This window comes from Homo sapiens, chromosome 20 (assembly GCF_000001405.40).
Source record: "Homo sapiens chromosome 20, GRCh38.p14 Primary Assembly".
NCBI lineage: Eukaryota > Metazoa > Chordata > Mammalia > Primates > Hominidae > Homo > Homo sapiens.
In genome coordinates this window covers 60,003,593-60,021,148 of record NC_000020.11, presented here as the reverse complement: position 1 = coordinate 60,021,148, position 17,556 = coordinate 60,003,593, and the positions used below count along the sequence as shown (strand labels likewise).

At 43.4% G+C, this 17,556-nt stretch overlaps 1 protein-coding gene across 5 annotated transcripts in view; it reads right to left on the bottom strand.

Annotated features, from left to right (window-relative positions):
* Window positions 1-17,556, bottom strand: part of CDH26 (cadherin 26) — a 77,512-nt gene that overhangs the window by 14,786 nt on the left and 45,170 nt on the right. For 4 of the 5 annotated variants that reach the window (NR_145482.2, NM_177980.4, NM_021810.6 and 1 more), the window contains 2 exons: window positions 14,362-14,436; window positions 6,620-8,622 (listed from right to left, as the gene is read on the bottom strand). Coding sequence is in view for 4 of the 5 variants with exons in the window: in NM_177980.4 (NP_817089.1) it covers window positions 8,419-8,622; window positions 14,362-14,436 (279 nt within the window). In the remaining variant the exon portion in view is untranslated. Of the gene's footprint in view, window positions 1-6,619; window positions 8,623-14,361; window positions 14,437-17,556 lie in introns of those variants that run through there. The other variant, XM_011528970.4, reaches the window with a different exon arrangement.

The following is a 17,556-nucleotide window of genomic DNA, read 5'->3' as shown; positions in this document are numbered from 1 at the left end:
TGGTGCTCTCCCAGACCCCCACGAAGAAAGAATCATGGCAACAAATAAATAACTAAGCTTTAACTGGAGTGTTGAAAAGAGAATGCTGTCATGCAGCAGAGGAATGGAGAAGTACCTGTGACGGCTAGAAGCCCAGGAGGGCAGTGTAGAGGCACCGTGCATCTGCACCCCATCTCCCCTGCCTGGATCTGATCAGCCCAGAGACAGGAGGGACTTTCCATTTCAGGAAAAAGGTAAGCAGAAGATCACTAACAGTCCCTATTGCCACTGCAAACACCTACAGTCCTTACATACAAGACTCCCACAGTCCTCACAAAGCCCTGAGCCCAGTTTGGAGAGCTGCAAGGATTTCACTGAACTGCATTGTTCCAGATTAGTAGCACAAGGTGCTTACCCCCCACATTGTGAGCCAAGCTCTCACCCACACATACCCACCCACTGTGAGCCAAGCTACTGCAGGACAGCACCATTCTGAGACCAGAGCCACACTCTGGAGTGTGTTATGCTCTGGAGATCAGTCGCAACTGTACCTCTACAGCACCAGCGCTCCATATTCATTCCACCAAGCCCACATGAGTGTCTGAATGTCACAACCCCAGCTGTGTAGATTCCAGGCCCAGAGTTAGCTGTGACTCAGGATGAGCCCAAAAAAGAAACCCACCCTTCACCGCCCACATTTCCAGTGGGACAAACGGCCTTGCAGTCCTGCCCAGGGTGAACCCACTCTTAAGCCAGCCAAACCACTGCATGCCCTACCCCAAGTGGGAGAGGTCCCTGAGGCACTAAGCAGCTGATACATCCCCAGGCCAGCCGAGAAACCATGTGCCCCCATCTCAGGCCAGAAAAATAGCCCTGTGGGCTGCTGCAGGAAGATACCTTCCAGGCTGGCCAAGAGGCCTTGTGTCCCTGTCCCAGGCCTGAGAAATAGCCCCATATGATGCCCCTGGCAGGCATGATCCCAGGTCAGCCAAGCAATTGTGTGTCTGTGCCCCCAGCCAGAGTAATAATCCCACGGTCCCAACTCCAGAAAGCCAGACCACAAGTTGGCTCACCCACTGTGTGCACACATATGCCCCTGACCTAAGAAACAAACCAATGAGCCCACCTCTAGCAAAGCTGCACCACCACTGCCATAAACTCTCTCAGCCCAGGCCACTGAGACAAACATCACTAGCATGGATTATAGTTGAAGACACTACATAGAGACTACACTACTGTGTCCACTTAGAATCAAAGCCAATGCACCCCATCAAACCAACACCCCAAAACCCATCTATATGAATAAGTTTTTCCATATGAAACCTACTCCATAAAATTAGAAGAGGTGACTGTTTCACCAGATATGTATAAATCAATGCAGGGACACATTAAACACAAAACAGGCAAGGAAACATGACACCTCCAAAGGAACATAATAATTCTCTAGTAACAGACCCCAATTATAAGGAAACACACAAAATTCCAGTAAAAGAATTCAAAATAATAATCTTAAGGAAATTCAGTGAGATATAAGAGAATACAAATAGACAATTCAACAAAATCAAGGAGCAATTTCTGATATGTACATGAAATTCAACAAAAAGGTAGATATAATTAAAAAGGATCAAGTGGAAATTCTGGAATGGAAGAATTCAGTGAATGAAATTAAACAATATAATTGAGAGTTTCAACAATGGACAAGACCAAGCAGAATAATAAATTTCTGAACTTGAAGACAAGTCTTTTGAAATAACAGGCAGACAAAAAAAGAATGAAGAAAGACTACAGGATTTATGGGACACCATTAAGTGACAAATATTCACATTATGAGTGTTCCAGAAGGAGAAGAGAATGGAAAAGGTGTATGAAATATATTTTATGGAATAATACCTGGAAACATCCCAATTCCTGTTGAACAGATAGGCACTCAGATCCAGGAAGCTCAAAGAACTCCAAATAGATTCACTCCAAATAGATTCTCTCCAAGTCACATTATAGTCAAATTGTCAAAAGTTAAAGGCAAAGGAATAATTTTAAAAACAGCAAAGGAAAAGCATCAAGTCACATATAATGGAATCCCCATTAGACTGCGGATTTCTCAGCAGAAACCTTACAAGCCAGGAGAGAATTGGATGATATATTCGAAGTACTGTAAACAAAACAAAACTTGCCAGACTATAATATTATACCAAGCAAAGCTATCCTTCAGAAATGAAAAAGTAAAATCTTTCACAGACAAGCAAAAGTTAAGAGAATTCATCACAACTATTCTGATCTTACAAGAAATGCTCAGGGGAGTTTTACATCTAGAAGTGAAAAGAAAATAACCACAATCATGAAAACATGCAAAACTATAAAACTCACTGGAAAAGCCAAAAACAAAGGGGAAAAAAAGTAATAAAAGCTCATCACTACAGGAAACCACCCAACTGCAAAAAAAAAAAAAAAAAAAAAAAAAAAAAAAAAAGGCAGTAAGAGAGGAAGTAAGAAACAGAGGATATACAAAATAACAACATGGCAATCAATAAATCAATAAAATGACAGGAGTAAGCCCTCACTTATCCATAATAACCTTGAATCAGATTATATTCCTCATTTAAAAGATAAAGACTGGCTGGATGAATTTTAAAATAACCCAACTATATGCTGCCTTCAAGAAACTCACATCACCTGTAAAGACACACATAGACTGAACATGAAGGGGTGGAAAAGATATTCCACACAGACAGAAACTAAAAGTGAGCTGGAGTAGCTATACTTATATCAGACAAAGCAGACTTTAAAGTCAAATGCTGTAAAAAGAGACAAGAAAAACATTAAATAATAATAAGGGGAACAGGTCAGCAAGAGAATATACCAATTATAAATAAACATGCACCCAACACTGAACCACTAGATCTATAAAGCAAATATTATTAGATCTAAAGGCAGAAATAAGCCCCAATACAATAATAGTTGGGGACTTCAACATCTCACTCTCAGCACTGGACAGATTATTTAGATATAAAATCAACAAGGAAACATCAGATTTAAACTGAACCTACCAAATAGACCTAGTAGACTTTACAGAACATTTCACTCAACAGCTACGGAATACACATTTTTTTCATCAGCACATGTAACTTTCTCCAGGAGAGGCCATATGTTAGGATACAAAACAAGCTTCAAAAAGTTTTTAAAAATCAAAATTATATAAAGTATCTTATCTGACCACAAGAGAATAAAACTAAAAATCAAGAACAAGATGAACACTCAAAACTATACAAATACATGGAAATTAAGCTACATGCTCCTGATGACCAAGGAGTGAGAAAATCAATTAAGAATGAGATTTTAAAATTCCTTGAGGCAAATAAAAGTAGGAAACACAGCACACCAAAATCTATGGAACATAGCAAAAACAGTAGTAAGAGGCAAGTTTAAAGTAACAAATGACTACATTAAACAACTAGAAATATTTCAAATGAGCAATTTAATAATGTATCTTAAGGAACTAGAAATTCAAGAAGAAATGAAACCCAAAATTAGTAGAAGGAAAGAAATAATAAAGATCAGAGCACAAATAAACAAAATCGAGACCAGAAAAACAATACAAAAGGTTAATGAAACAAAAAGTTGATTTTTTGAAAAAATAAATGAAATCAACAAACCATTAGCTAGACTAAGAAAACAAGAGAAAAGATTCAAGTAAATAAAATTGAAACAAAAAATTGAGATGTCACAATAGAGACCACAGAAATACAAAGAATTATTAATTACTGTGAACAACTATATGCCGGTAAATTTGAAAACCTAGAGGCAATGGATAAATTCCTGAACACATACAACCTACTAAGATTGATCCAAAAAGAAATAGAAAACCTCAATTGACCAATAACAAGTAATAAGATTGAATCAATAATAAAAATTATCTCAAGAAAAGAAAGTTCAGGGCCGGATGGTTTCACTACTGAATTCTGCCAAACTTTAAAGAAGTATTAATACCAACTTTTCTCAGACAATTCCACAAAACAAGTAGAGATAGCTCTTCCTTTCTTACTCTATGAGGCCAGCATAACTCTCATTCCAAAGCCATACAAAGACACACAGAAAAAGAAAACTACAGGCCAATATCACCAATGAACATAGATGTTAAAACCCTCAACAAAAATATTAGCAAACCAAATCCAAAAATATATTAAAAAGATAAAAGATCATGGTCAAGTGGAATTTATCCCAGGAATGCAAGGCTTTCATATACCCAAATCAGTACACATGATACATCACATCAACAAAATGAAGGACAAAAACCATATGATTATCTCAACGGATGCAGAAAAAGCCTCTGATAAAATTCAGTATCCTTTCATGAGAAATCTTTTATACCAAAAAATTAGGTATAAAAGGAAAGTGCCTCAACAAATTAAGGCTATATATGACACACCCACAGCTAACATCATACTAAATGAGGAAAAGTTGGAAACTATTCCCCTAAGGACTGGAACAAGACAAGGGTGCCCACTCTCTCTTCTTGTATTCAACATAATACTGAATGTCCTAGCCAGAGCAATAAGACAAGAGGAAGAAAAAAAGGGAATTCAAATTAGAAAGGAGGAAGTCAAATTGTCCCTGTTTGCAGATGACATAATCTCATATATAGAAAAACCTAAAGATGCTACCAAAAACTCTTAGAACTGATAAATAAATTCAGCAAAGTTGCTGGAGACAAAAATCAACATACATAAATCAGTAGCATTTCTATACATGAACAACAAACTAGCTGAAAAATCAAGACAGCAATCCCTTTTACAATAACTACAAAAAACTAAAATATCAAAGAATAAGTTTAACCATGGAAGTGAAAACCCTCTACAAAAAAAGATTACAAAATACTGATGAAAAATCAGAGGATATAAACAAATGTAAAGACATTTCATGCCCATGGATCAGAAGAATTAATGTTGTAAAATTATCACACTATGCAAAGCAATCTACAGATTCAATGCAATCCCTATCAAAACACCAATGACATTCTTCACAGAAATAGAAAAAAAAATCTTAAAATTTGTGTGGAACCACAGAAGGTCCTGAAGAGCCAAAACAATTCTGAGCACAAAAGACAAAGTTACAAGGATCACACTATCAGACTTCAAAATATACTACAAAACTATAATAACTGAAACAGCATGGTACTATAAAAACAGACACATCAATAAATGAAACAGAATACAGACTCAAGCAATTAATACACATATCTTTAGCCAACTGATTTTTGACAAAAAGACTACGAACATTCATTGAGGAAAAGATAGTCTTTCCAACAAATGGTGCTGGGGAAAGTAGGTATCTATATGCAGAAGAATGAAACTAGACTCCCCTCTCTCACCCTATACAGAAATCAACTCAAAGTGGATCAAAGACCTAAATGTGAGACCCAAAACTATAAGACTATTGGAAGAAAATCTAGGGAAAATGCTTCAGGAAATTGGTCTTGTAAAAAAACTTATGAGTAAGACCTCGAAAGCATAGACAACAAAAGCAAAAATAATCAAATAGGATTATATCAAACGAAAAATTTTCTGCACAGCAAAGGAAACTACAGAGTGAAAAGTTAACGTACAAAATGGGAGAAAATATCTGCAAACTATTTATCCAATAAGGGGTTATTATCTGGAATACACGAGGAGCTCAAATATCTCAACAGCAAAATAAAAAGAATCCAATTTTAAAATGGGTAAATGATCTGAACAGATGTTTCTCAAAAGACATAAAATGGCCAAAAAATATATGAAAAACTGCTTAACATCATGAATGGTCAGGAAAAGGCACATCAAACCCACAATGAGGTATTATCTCATCCCAGTTAGGATAGCTACTATCAAAGAGTCAAAAATAGCCAATGCTGGGCCAGATGCAGTGGCTCACACCTTTAATCCCAGCACTTTGGTAGGCTGAGGTGGGCGGATCACCTGAGGTCAGTAGATAGAGACCAGCCTGGCCAACATGGCAAAACCCCATCTCTACTAAAAATACAAAAAATTAACTGGGCGTGGTGGCTCATGCCTGAAGTCCCAGCTACTTGGGAGGCTGAGACAGGAGAATTGCTTCAACCCAGGAAGTGGAGAGGTTGCAGTGAGCTGAGATTGCACTACTGCACTCCAGCCTGGGCAATAAAGTGAGACTTTGTCTCAAACAAAATTTTTAATTAAATTAAATAAAGAAAAGAAAGCAAATGCTGGTGAGGTTGCTGAGTAAAGGGAACCCATACGCTGTTGGTAGGAATGTAAATTAGTACAGGCACTTTGGAGAAGAGTATGGAGGTTCCTCAAAAACTCTACAAATAGAACTACAATATAATTCAAAAATCCTACTACTGGGCATTTGTCCAGAGGAAAGGAAATCTGTATTTTGAAGAGACATCTGCACCTCATGTTTATTACACCACTATTCACAATAGCCAAGATGTGGAATCAACCTAGCTGTCCAAAGGCAGATGAATGCATGAAGAAAGCATGGTATATATACACAATGAAATATTATTCAGCCACTAAAATAAAAAAATTCTGTCATTTATGGCAACATGGATGAAGCTGGAGGACATTATGTTAAGAGAAATAAGCCAGCTGCAGAAAGTTGAAAATCACATGTCCTCACACATATGTGGAAGCTAAAACCAAGTTTATCTCGGAAGTAGAAGGTAGAACAGAGGACACAGCAGCTGGGAAGGGTGGGGGGAAAGAGGGATAGGGAGAGATTTATTAAAGGATACAAAATTACAGCAAATTATTCCTAGGAGGAATACGTTCTAGCACTCTATACCATTATATGTTGCCTATAGTTAACAATAATACATAGTTTTAGATAGCTAGAAGGGGGATGGATATTGAATGCTCCGTACCAATACAAAGAAATGAAAAATGTTTGAGCCAATGATTACGTTAACCACCCTGATCTGATCACTGTAAATGTATTGAAACATGACTATGTACCCCCTAAATATGTACAATTATTATATGTCAATTATTTAAAATGAAATAATAAAGTTTTAAAATGAGATAATTTTTTAAAAATCTACAGGGGACAGAATGAAAGAGGCAAGTATAAGGAGGCAATCGAATAAACTAATGTTTACTTTGTTTTGTTGTCCAAAAACATGTATTTTTCTTAAAAAAAAAAATACTTTTATCCTGAATTACCCAGAAAATGCCCTAGACTGTCCTCTGAGTCATGCTAGGATCAGTACAGCTGTTCTACACATTCAAGCGTCCCATTCAGACATTCCAGTGCTTTAAATGTGATTTTTCTTCTTTTTCAGCTTCCCAAAGCAGAGGAAGACTGAGGTAACCAGGTAGGAAAAGGCCAGATCTCCTTAAAAAGAAGTATTTGCACAGCTTCTTCAAAAAGAAGGAGAAAGTTTTAACTCTGAGCTGTAACTCACTGTTTAACATAATGCTTCACTGATTCACCAGCAAACATGTTTCTACTGATTTATTTTAGGGCATGAGAGACGGCATTTGCTCATTAATTATATAAAATTTTTATATGGCTGTAGACTTTTAGATATCCAATATGTGCATTAAAGTGTCCAAATAGCATTTTAAACTTTGCTTAGTCAGTCTCTTATCTATTACTCAGACTAGAAAACTGACTATTTTTAGGGCATATGTCCCCTATTAAGATTTTTAAAAGAAACCATTTCTTCCCCTGAAACTGACACTAGCAGTAAGTGGACAAGTAAAAACCAATTAAATTTTGTGGTTTTGTTTAAAGATAAAATCTAATCAGAACTTACTCATTCAAAGGCTCCTAACTCTTTTACTTACATAATACATACAAGTTAAATTATGTCAGCTCTTCATTTTTTAAAGAGTATACTGTTTATAAAGCTTTCAGCATAATCATTTTTCTCAAGATAACATATTTTATCTATTTATCTAATCAAAAAGTGAACAGGGACCAATACTTATTTTTTAAAAAATCACTTCAAATACTGACTACAAATGTTATAGAAAAAATTTCTCTATTTACCTAAGTTTTCCCTTAAATGGAAGCAGAATCATAATCATAGAAATGTAAGTAACGTTTTCAAAATCTATTTTTATTTTTCTTCAGTATTACCTGCTGTTCCCAAGTGGCTGGGTAATCTATGGGTTATATTTTCATTTACCCTCAAAGCTAGGCTGCCAGTGGAAGCTAAGAATAACACAATTAAATTCAAGTTTCTCTAGAAAATATGACAAATCAAATTTTAAGAAAGTGTAACTTGTGGTTTTGCTTTGGTTCAAGATGGCTGATCTGAGAATATCAAAGCATTTAATTCAAACTAATAGTGTGTCCTCATCCTAGGACTAGAAGGTAATTTTTCTTTTAAGGAGGGAAAAGAAGAGCAAAGGGGAAAAATCCCTGAATAGTGATTCCCTTCCATGAATTATTTCAATTCTCCAAAATAGACTTTTTTTTTTAGGAAGGAACACCTGACTCTGAATATATTTCCTCAAACGGAGTCGCTTTTGAACCCAAAGAGTCCAGCAAATCAGGTTGCAACTCCTGTTCCAAGCTGGCCAGAGAGCTGAGGGATGGGGCCCCTCCACACTCCCCTTCCTCGCTGTAGACGTGAGGTAGGTAGCCGGGGTCATCTTCCAGCACATTGGCAACATGGAGTTTCTGGGGAAAAGTGGGGGAAAGAGAAGGTAAATGCCATGTGCTTCCATACCCAGCTCATTTCTCTAGGTTTGATTCGAGGAACACATCAATGCAGTAGTAACAGCACTCAGGCCCCGTGTCCTCAGCTGACACAGGAGTTCGTACAGTTCCAGAAGTGGCAGCCATGCTGAGGGGAGACATCCCACCTTACAGTCTGAGAGGGAACTGTGACACAGTGGTGGCCGCCCCAGGAGTATGACAGGAGCCCCCAGGAGGACCTCCCACCTGCTCCCACCCTCTTGCAGATTCATTCCTTGAGGCTCGCCCTTCCCTGTCCTGTGCCCTGGACACCTCCCCTTCCATGACCCCCCGGCCCTCGTTTGGACAACTGTCCCCTCTCTCTTCATCTTTACCTGGCCTCTTGCTGTGGGCTCCTTTCTCCCGACCCACAAATGTGCTCAGGTCTATCCTTCAATCTGCTCATACTTCACAGCCTCCCTGCAAGAAAGGGCGGCCACCACTTCCTGCCACCCCTTTCTCACCCATGTGGCTCCTCAAACCACTGCCCTCCAGTCTCCCCATTCATGCTCAGGCCATGGCTTCATCCATCCCTAACCAATGGTGATGTCCCCGTCACCATCTCTCTCTGTGACACTCCCTACAGTCACATCCAGAGCCAGAATTCCAACCAGACAGCTCCACAAGGACATCCACAGAGACCTCAGACTCAACATCCTGGAAACCACTGTGGTTTTGCCCACAACCTACATCTCCTCCTCCCACGTCCCTCCCTCAATGCTCGCCAAGTGCAGTGCGCACCCCCTGTTACAGGGGCTAGCCGGCTACAAGCCAGGGGATAATCCAGCACACCACCTGTTGTTGTAAATTAAGTTCTACTGGAGCACGGCCAAGACCGTTTATTTGTGTATCATCTGTGGCTGCTTTCACGGAACAATGGCAGGGCTGAGCTGTGGGAACTGGCCTTCAAATCCTACAGGATTTACTATCTGGCCCTTTATAGGAAGTTCACTGACCCCTGCATCATTAGATGATTTCGATGGTATCAGAACACATATTTATTTGAGTGAATGGCCATTTTATCGTATATTTCAAAACACAATAACAAGCACGCCAAATCCATGATTTCACACTAGCTGATTGTAAAGCCAAAAGCTAATTAACATGTGAGCTGATTTACAGAAATGCATTAAATACATCATAGTGAGTGGGTTAAACACAAGCGTGACAGTAGTGACAGAATGACCAAAGTTCATGAAACTCTAGCCTGACTTAAGTCAGGACATCCCCTACAGCCCAGCTGCTCAACCTTGAAACCTAGAGTCATCACCAACTCTCCCCTGCCCCATCCTCTCAAATGCTCGGCAGTATTTCTAGTTCTGTCCCCTCTCCTCCAGCCCCATGGCCAATGCCTGAGGATAGGTCCCTATCTCCACTCATTGGGGCGAGAGTGGCAAGTTCACTAAACTCATTTCTTGTTCTTCTGGTCACCCGGCAAGATCACATTTCCTGCCTCTCTGCTAGATGTGGCTACGTGACTGATGAAATAGGGATGTCAGGGACACGTACCTGGCCATGAAAGCCTCCCCAAGAGCCTCTGTTCTTTCTCTGTCCTCCAGCCCCATTTCCAGTTCTGAGTGGTGGCAGAGCCACAGAGTGGGAGGACCCTGGGCAGGCTCCGGCTCGACACCCACCCTGATGTGTGACGTGAGCCAGAGGTGCCTGCTCTGCGCATTAAGCCACCCTGCTCTGGGGTTGCCATGGCTTTCTCCCTCCAAACAGCCCTCTTCTCACCATCTCCTCCTCTCCCCAACCTCTCCTGCCTTAGGTCCACCCTCTGCACAAACCCCAGAAACATTTCCTAGGCTTCATATCTGCTCATTCCTGTCTGCCTAGAATCCTAGACAGCCCTCCTCTGCCAATCTCCAACCCAGCAAACTCCAGCTCAGCATTCAGGACCCAAGTCATCTCTCTGTGAAGACTTTTCTGGCCTGAGTGATTCAATAAATAGGGGAGTGGAGGGGAGGGGAGGGGAGAGGGACTTTAGCCTATTTACCTTCTAATACCTCTAGAGGGTGCTATCTGAACCCAGCGCCAGTTCTACAGACCTTGGCAGGAATGGGTTTAGTGGGAGCCTGTCTAATCCGTCACTGCTGATAGTAATTCTGAGAGGGTGAGCTCATGTAGGGCATGAAAACAGTCAGAATCCTGGGGCTCAAGCCCAAGGTGGGAGGTGGGGAGGGCCTGGAAAGGGCAGCTCTGGGGCCCCAGGGACCCCATGCGTGTCCCCATTCTGATGGGACCCCTGGGCTTCCAAGCTCTTAACTATGCCCCCCGCCCCGCCCCACCCAGTGACTGCAACAAGCTGTCTCCAGCTTCCTCTGGTTCTCAGGAGCCCTGCCTGGGCCCTTGTTTAGTGGGAAATGCTGTCTCCCCGCCCCAGTCTACTGCTATGTCAGGCTTGGTGCCCACGAGAAGCGCGGGAATGCTCACCTGCACATCTGGCCCATTGACTGGGTCTGCTTACTCAGGGACTGTGGTCACTGTCTGACCATATGGCATGGGGGAGCTGGGGGCAGGGGGAGGAAAGAAAGTTTTTACGGCAAAACCAGCAGATACACAAGCTCTGGCCTACGTGTTAGGAGTCGGTTCACGTCCTTGCAGTGAAGCTGAATAGATAATTAGCGACAGACCTGGTGTGTGCAGAGCAAAACAGAATCTGCAGTGGGGGCTGTGCTGGGTGGATTCAACTTCAAAACCCCCAGGCTGACAGCAGAGCAGTGGATGTCTGCACCCTGATTCAGCAACTTTGGAGGCCTCATCAGATCAATAATTCATCATACACCACCATCCAAGTTAGAGGGCTCACAAGGAAAGAACAGGGCCCTCTAATCTGGTGTTCCCTCCTCTCACACCACCAAGCAGAGCTTCGAGCTTCCATTGAATAAAGCTGCCTCCCTGCCCCGCAGAGGGAGGAGGGGGGCCCGCGGCTGGAACACGTCCCTCTCCTGCTCAGCCAGGCAGGACCTGCGATACTGTCCACACAGTCCACTTGGCATGAGCGGTATGTGTGCATGTGCATGCGTTCACGTGTGTGTGCGCAAATGTGAAAATGGGTAAGCTGGATACTACGTGATGATCACCACATGCTACGTTTTCTGTAGAGACATGATCTGGTCTGCACAGAGCTTCACCCGAGAGTGTAGCAGAGCTGCCCCAACTCTCCTTTGTAGATGAGAAATTAAGGCTCAGAGAGGAGACTTCCCTGACCCTGCTTAATGATCAGGTGGGCCCGTCTGTAGTCGGCCACTCTGTGCCCCATTTCTGGCTCTGTCCCTCGTGCCTTTACCATTGGAGCAACTTGTCTGAGCCTCCATTTTTGGATTCATCTACCACATTGGGTTATAGTGAAAATGGTTCTTTCATTGCTTCTTCAGTGACCCCTGTGTCATGCACCAGTAATGACACAGCCTGGCCCTCAGGGAGGTTACAGTCGGCTCGGGAGAGACACATGGAAATTTCCCCGCAGCTCATCCTTCATCTTCCTCACCAGCAGTCAGGACCTGGGGAAGGGCCCTGCAGCCCTGAGTCTGTGGGTACACAGCCCCCTTCTGCAGGAGCCTGGCTTGCCTGCTTTTAGGCAAAGCTTCTAGGCCCGGAGAAGATGTCTGTGTTGTCTTGAAGCAGGTGCCAGGCAGCACCCATTCTGCAGGGCTAAGGAGTGGGAGTGAGAAGGGGCCAAGCCTACAGCACCTTTGGGGCTGTCACTGGGGCACAGAGCTGGAGCTCCCACCTGGGGACTGTGACAGGAACCAGAGGAAGCAACATTGGGGAAACCCCAGACAGTGACTCTACATCCAGACACAGTCTGGGCTCACTTCCTCAGGCCACAGTGTTCACAGCCCTGTCTGTCATCCACTCTGACAACCACAGCAGGAGACGTCCAGGCTCACCAATGGGTTTCACAAAACAGGATCCCAGGACCTCAAGTCAGAGGCTCAGATGCGCACCCCAGACCCACTACAGCAGGGTCCACAGAGTTGGTACTGGGGATTGCTGCTTTTTAATGAGCCCCCTAAGTGCCTAGACCCTGGAGCCCAGTTGCCTGTATTTGAGCCCCAAATCTACTGCTTTCTGTGGCTGTGACCTTGGACACATTACCCAACTTCTTTGTTCCTGGGTTTCCACATGTTATAAAAAGGCATATGACAGCACCTCCCCCAATAGGCTGATGTGCAGACTAAGAGTTAACATCTTTCAAGTCCTCAGAACAGAGTCTACAACAAAGTGAGTATTATACACGTGTTTGCCAAAAAAATAAGTCTGGCCTGACAGAGACTGTCTACATTTATGTCTTCCTTTGTGCTTATCATTCCATAGGCCTGAGTTCCCACTGCCCTGCAACAGGAGGAGCTGCTTAGAGTCAGAATGGCCTGGGCAGCTTCTTGGTACCTCCTTCCCCAAGCAGGGGGCATGCAGAGCCTCCATGACACGAGCATGTGGACTGGCTCTGCCCTATCCATGTAAACCTGCCCATGGGTTTGCCCAGCTCCCAAGCTGCTTTCTAATCTTCCCAGGAGTACGCAGTGGCTGTGTTGATGGACCTTTCAGGATGTACCCAAAATCAGAATCTCACATAATAGACCCCTTCAGCGCAGTCAAACTACATCTTTCACAATTTTGCAGGAAAAGACCCTTCATTCTGAGGTAGGAGGCCAGCAGGTCTTGTTTTCTGGTCACAACCCTGCTGACCAAAACAGGATCTGGTCCAGATGGGATGAAGTTAAAAAAAAAAAACCAGCAGAAACCAGCAGATGAGACGAAAGTGAACCCTGGATGCCCTCATTGCTCACTGGTGCAAGAGACTCACACCAGTGCCAGGACAGCTTACAAATGCCATGGCAGTGACCCAGAAGTTATCACTGCTGTCCTAGAAAGTTCTAAATAACCAGCCCCTCCGTTTGCATCAACCTGCTGCTTAATTTGCATGTAATTGAAAGTGGGTTTTAGTGGGTATAAATACAGTTGCCAACAGCCCATACATTTCTGACTCTGAGTGTACTGCCTATGAGTTAGCCCTGCCTTGCAAGGAGCAGTAATGTTGAATAGAAGACTGCTGTCTAACACCTCCACCTCACCTTTGAATTATTTCCCAAAACCCTCCTGGGCTAATCCCCAGTTTTGGGGCTTGCCTGTGCTGTGTCAATTCTGTCTTCAGTTGGGTTCTGCAAAGCAGCACTGGATGGAGGATTTCCATGAAAGTGATTGCTATGGACTTAATTGTGTTCCCTCTCCAAATCCATATGTTCAGGCCCTAACCCCAATGTGATGGCATTTGAAGACGGAGCCTTTGGGAGACAATTAGGTTTAGATGAGCTCATGAGGGTAGAGTCCTCATGATGGAATTAGTTCCCTAATAAGAAGAGATACCAGGGAGCTTGGTATCTCTCTCTCCATCCCATGTGAGGACACGGCGGGAAAGTGGCCATCTGCCAGCTAGCAAGAGAGCTCTCACCAGAACCCAACCATGCTGGAACCCTGACCTTGGACTTCTAGCCTGCAGAAACATGAGGCAATATATTTCTGTTATTTAAGCCACCAGTCAGGCTATGGTATTTTATTATGGCAGCCTTAGCTGACTAATGCAGTGATTTAGGAGGAAGTGTCCCCAAATCAAGCCTGGAGCACAGTGGGGATGCAAAACCCATAGCTAGTGCACAGCACAAGGGGAGCTCTCCCTACCTGATTCAATGTCTCTGCCATCCTTCCTTCCACCGGAGCCAGGAGTTGTCTGTGCATTGTGGCATCTGGGTAAGCCTGCAAGCAAACCAGTAGAGCTTCATACCACAGCAGAGCCCTTGTCCTACCCCCCAACCCCTGTGTGTCAGTGGCCCCAGCATAGATGGGGCACACTGAGCACCGTTCTCTTGGAGGTGAAGAGCCAGGCCCAGGGTAGTTTGCTCACGTTTCCTCTCTTTGTGTTGGGGGAGAGAGGGAGGCCCTGCAAGCTCTCATGGCTAGACTTTCCAATGCCTGGGCTGAAACAAACTTTCAGTGAGGAAGGAACCCAAGTGAGCCCGGCCAGGAGGGTTGTTCCTGCTGACACCCTCACTCATGCCTTGCACCCCCTCAACTACACTGCCCCTCCTCGCTCATTTTGGCTTCTCTTCCTCTGAACCTGCCCATTGTTTCCCATGATGGGCTGCTGGCAGTCTCCTGCTCATCTGGCCCATGTCTGTGGATCTGGGTCTCTGTGCTATCTAAGGGCAGAGGATACAGTGGTAGGAAACAGGCTTGGCATCTACTGGAAGGAGTGGCTATCTGGGGGCTCACAAATCCCACCACTAAATCATGTGAGTCAGGCTGGCCTGGAGGCAAGCAAAGCACCTGGGGCCTCACTGTCGAGCTCACGCAGGTGCAAGGCAAGCACCCAAGAGTGGCGGTAAATGTAAGACTGATCACCAAGGGAAGGTTTAAGAGGGGATCTCACCCAGTTGAGAGCAGGGAGTTCTCAGGAGGAGGAAGTTGTAGGGCCATGGAACAGAAGGGAATTCCAATGAGAAGAAACAGCACAGGCCCTAAGCAGGGAGGGAACTTGGCGTGTTCTGTGGCTGGAGCCCAAAGAGGTGGGGTGCTGGGATGGTTAGGGAGGTGGGGGGAGGCTCAGAGCAAGTTGAAGCCATACGTGAGCAAAGGCCATGTGATAGAGGGTCTCACAGGACATTAAAGACATAGGTCTGTCTTAGGCTGGGTTCTGCAAAGCAGCCCTGGAGGGAGGATCCCCTTAAGGTCATAAGGTTGTAGACTTTATCCCAGGTGCAATGGCAAGCCAACAGGAAGTCTTAAATTGGAGAGTGACATACAATTTGTGTTTTTAATCACTGGTGGCCTTTATGGCTGAGATGACTTCTGATCTTACCTGGGTTTAGGGATACTTATTGGGTTCCAGAAGACATATGTAAAATATGATAAAGCCTGGGGCAATTATGTATGTCCATGAGGCTATATATACACATACATACATACATACATACATACATACATACATACAGATATATACACATGCACATATACAGACAAACATACACATGTTCATATATGCATACTCATGCCTCTGTACATGTACATGCTTCTATACATATACATATAGACATATAGACATATACATATACAGTTGACCCTTGAACAATGTGGGGGTTAGGGGTGCTGACCCTGCACAGTTGAAAACATGCCTATAACTTTTGATTCCCCGAAAACTCAACTAACAGTCTACTGTTGACTGGAAGCTTTTCCAATAATATAAACAGTCAATTAATGCACATTTTGTATGTCATATGTATTATATACTATATTATAACAAAGTAAGCTAGAAGAAAGAAAATGTCATTAAGGAAAATATATTCACTATTCATTAAGTAGAAGTGGATTATCATAAAGGTCTTCATCTTCATTGTCTTCTCTCTGAGTAGAATGAAGAGGAGGAGGGAGAAGAAGGGTTGGTCTTGCTGTCTCGGGGGTGGCAGAGGCAGAAGAAAACCCACATATAAGTGCACCCACACAGTTCAAACTCCTATTGTTCAAGGGTCAACTGAATACACATATCTATCTATATACACATGCATACATACAGTTATGCACGGCATAACATTTCAATGACAGGCCGTATATATAAAGCTGGTCCCATAAGACTGTAATGCTGTATTTTTACTGTACCTTTTCTATGTGTAGGTGTTTTTTTCTTTTCTTTTTTTTTTTTTTTTTTTTGAGATGGAGTCTCGCTCTGTCACCCAGGCTGGAGTGCAGTGGCGCGATCTTGGCTCACTGCAAGCGCCGCCTCCCAGGTTCATGCCATTCTCCTGCCTCAGCCTCCCAAGTAGCTGGGGCTACAGGCGCCCGCCACCACGTCCAGTTAATTTTTTGTATTTTTAGTAAAGACAGGGTTTCACCATGTTAGCCAGGATGGTCTCTATCTCCTGATCTCGTGATACGCCTGCCTCGGCCTCCCAAAGTGCTGGGATTACAGACGTGAGCCACGGCGCCCTGGCCTGTGTAGGTAGATACACAAACACCATTGTGTTCCAATTGCCTACAGTATTCAGTACAGTCACATGCTGTACGGGTTTGTAGCCTAGAAGCAACAGGCTACACCAAGAGGTCTAGGTGTGTAGTAGGCTACACCATTTAGGTTTGTGTAAAACACTTTATGAAGTTTACACAGTGATGAAATCACCTAACAACACATTTCTCAGAACGTATCCCCATCATTAAGCCAGACATGACTGTACATATACACATGTGTGTACACATAGTGAAGCCACATCATACCAAGGTAAGCTGAACCAAACATACTAAGCCAAAGAGGCAAGGTGTGGACCACTACAAGCAGCCCTAGGGACCCTGCTGCCTGGTTCCCAGTGCTGGGAGCACTTGACTGGAGATGCTGTGCCCTCAGTCTGTTTAGCCCCAGGGGCCTCTCAGAGGAGGACCCTTAAGATGTGGGCTATGTACAAAGTACCCTTGCACCAGATGCTCACTGACCAAGCATGGGGCTCATCCAGGACCAGAGGAAGACGCCGTGTCAGTTTCCAGCCTGGCTCCTTCCCGAGGTAGACTTGGGGTGATTTTGCCTCAAGCCAGCTTCAGGTCCTAACCCCACACTATGTATGGCTGCACTGTGGCTGAGAGAGCACTATCTCTCCTCTCTGGGCTTCTGTGGACTTAGCCACTGGTTTAACTCTATCCCCAGGGCCTACGACTCCTCAAAGATACTTCAGCTAGAGTATTTGAAATTTATTTTCATTATTTACAAATTATTTCAATAACAATATTGAATATTATTTTTATAATATAACAGAAAGTGGTTTACATCTTTTTTAGTCTCCCACACCAACATGTAAATTTGGGATGCCATGTTAATTAGCTTTTATGCAACTCAAA